Source organism: Homo sapiens, chromosome 17, assembly GCF_000001405.40.
Source record: "Homo sapiens chromosome 17, GRCh38.p14 Primary Assembly".
Classification (NCBI taxonomy): Eukaryota; Metazoa; Chordata; class Mammalia; order Primates; family Hominidae; genus Homo; species Homo sapiens.
The window spans coordinates 41,182,952-41,185,420 of record NC_000017.11 but is presented as its reverse complement, the minus strand read 5'-3'; the positions used below and the strand labels follow the sequence as shown (position 1 = coordinate 41,185,420).

Here is a 2,469-nt window from a genome sequence, read left to right as displayed (position 1 = left end):
TTTTTTCAATCTTTTTCTTCATTGTTGTTAAGTTTTTCTGTATTAGAAAATCCACTCCACTTCTAATATTTTAAGACAATTTCTGCTGTTTTCTTCTAGTTGTTTCACAGTTTATTTTTCTCAGAAGAATCTTCAGAAAACAAGAAACATCATCCCATTTGAGGACTGCTGTGAGACACACAGTTTTCAGGATGACACACAGAATGCTGAGTTCCAAGTGATCTGTCACCTGACAATCGACTGGATGAGTAAGATTACAAGTCTTTGAAATTAAATGACACACTAAATTAACTGAAGACAAGAGGAGGAGGAAAGACTGGATTGGCTAAACTCTAACACAGAGAAAGAATAAAAGTGCATTCCACCTTTTATACAGATATTTTCCCACAATTAGCTAACTTGATAATTGCCTATCTATTAAGATAAACAATAACAAGGAAATAGCTTTTATGTGGTGACAACAGCTCCTCAGCTGAGTATAAAAGTGGACATGGGATAAGGAGATTCCCACATTCGAAAAACTCACTGTCTTGGAAACCTACCTAGAACCTCCACCCTCTGACACCATGGTTAACTCTTGTTGTGGCTCTGTCTGCTCTGACCAGGGCTGTGATCAAGGCCTCTGCCAAGAGACCTGCTGCCGCCCCAGCTGCTGCCAGACCACCTGTTGCTGCCCCAGCTGTGTTGTATCCAGCTGCTGCCGCCCATCCTGCTCTCAGACTACCTGCTGCCAGACCACTTGCTGTCGCCCCAGCTGCTGCCACCCAGTCTGTTGTCAGACCACCTGCCGCCCCAGCTGTGGTGTGTCCAGCTGCTGCCGCCCACTCTGCTGTCAGACCACCTGCCACCCCAGCTGTGGTATGTCCAGCTGCTGCCGTCCACTCTGTTGTCAGACCACCTGCCGCCCCAGCTGTGGTGTGTCCAGCTGCTGCCGTCCACTCTGCTGTCAGACCACCTGCTGCCGTGCAACTTGCTGCCGCCCCAGCTGCTGTGGATCCTCTTGTTGAACCTCATATTGGACTATCAACCATGAGCCAGTCACCATCCCATGATATGAAAGTGTCATTTATATCAACTTGTCCATGTGTTAAATGGCCATCAGCTTTATTATCCTGTTATTCCACTAAGTAACTGGTGAAAGGGCATCCATCTACATTTAATACCACTCATTTTTCCCATGGATCTCTTCCCAGCAGCATTCAGACCTCAGATGCATGATGCAGTTAGACTAAGCCTCTAAGTTTCTGACTGTTATGCTTGATTTGACCTTCAAAATTACATATTAACTGTTCTTCAATAAATATTATCTTAATATCAGTAATTCTTTTCTCTTTTTTCAATTTTTTTGAGAATTAGTTGTCAGTTTATTTTTTAGCATTACTTCTCTCAAGATAAAGACAAATTTGGGTTACCACGACCAGGAAAGAAAACTGATTTTGTAAATATAATGTAATGCTTATATTATAGAAAGGACTTCATAAATTTTTCAAAATAAGATAACTCGCTGTATTTAACTAACAAAAGTTTCTTATTCAGTCAATGAAATTATTGATCATCTGTCATGTTCATTGCACTGTTGGGCTCTGGAGATCACATCAAGATATGTGAGGCACAGGAGCTTCCTAAAAGGAGCTCACCGTCTAATCTTGGAAATAAGAGGAAAGAGCAAAGTAGATAGATTGTGCTGGGTAGTACTGATCAGAGGAGAACTTTCTGTCTTGGGGAAGAGTAAGACATTAGGAATATACATATACACACATTTAATAATAGAATGAGTTAAGTTGGTACAGGGAAGATGTGCAGGTCACAGACCCATGAAATGAAGAGGAGGAAAATATAGGAAAATGTTTACATTCTTATGAGGACAAGACTGAGATGAGCTAAGAAACAGTTGGTGTTGACCAAATTTGGTGGAAGTTAAACCTCACTGGCCTCATCCCATCACCTCTATGTTAATGGTACTATACTAAAAGTCATAGGCAAATGAGAAAGCTCTTAGTCAAAGATGGAGCCACACAAGGACAAGGGAATATCCTCTTTGGGGAAGAGTCAGGGAGGAGTTGGGTAAGGGTTTGAATGGTAGGCAATGATAGAGTTGTAAAAGAGAAGGACTCAGGCTGTAATTTTAAGCTGTGAGCTAAGAATGCACTCTCGGGATATGCTTAGACTCTACAGCTTTCTTGTATCTCAGGTAAACTTGGTCATATTCAGACAAGCAAACCATATGTCTCCTGTAGCCACATGGCTTTGCTTATTCTGCCTGATGTCACTTCCACATGAAAAAAAAATATACTTGAGCAAAATACAGGATTTAATAGAATAAAAATTATCCTCAGGAAAGGACCAAAAAAATTATAGATGTTCTAAAATGGGGAAATAATATTCTTTTCAATAATGATAATAATCATGAAGGATCAGAAAATATGGGCAGGAGTGCAGTAAGCAGTAATGCCAAGGCTGTCAAGGTGA

General features: G+C 40.9%; 1 protein-coding gene across 1 annotated transcript; it reads left to right on the top strand.

The window, feature by feature from the left end:
* Positions 1–509: 509 nt before the first annotated feature.
* On the top strand, positions 510–1,321 carry KRTAP4-1 (keratin associated protein 4-1). Its single transcript, NM_001386841.1, has one exon. It carries the CDS (start codon positions 567–569, stop codon positions 1,005–1,007), a length of 441 nt encoding a protein of 146 aa, NP_001373770.1. The 5' UTR covers positions 510–566; the 3' UTR covers positions 1,008–1,321.
* Positions 1,322–2,469: the final 1,148 nt, after the last annotated feature.

Excerpts from the sequence above, each read along its gene's own strand:
- KRTAP4-1 (NM_001386841.1), top strand. The coding sequence starts at position 567 with ATGGTTAACTCTTGTTGTGGCTCTGTCTGCTCTGACCAGGGCTGTGAT.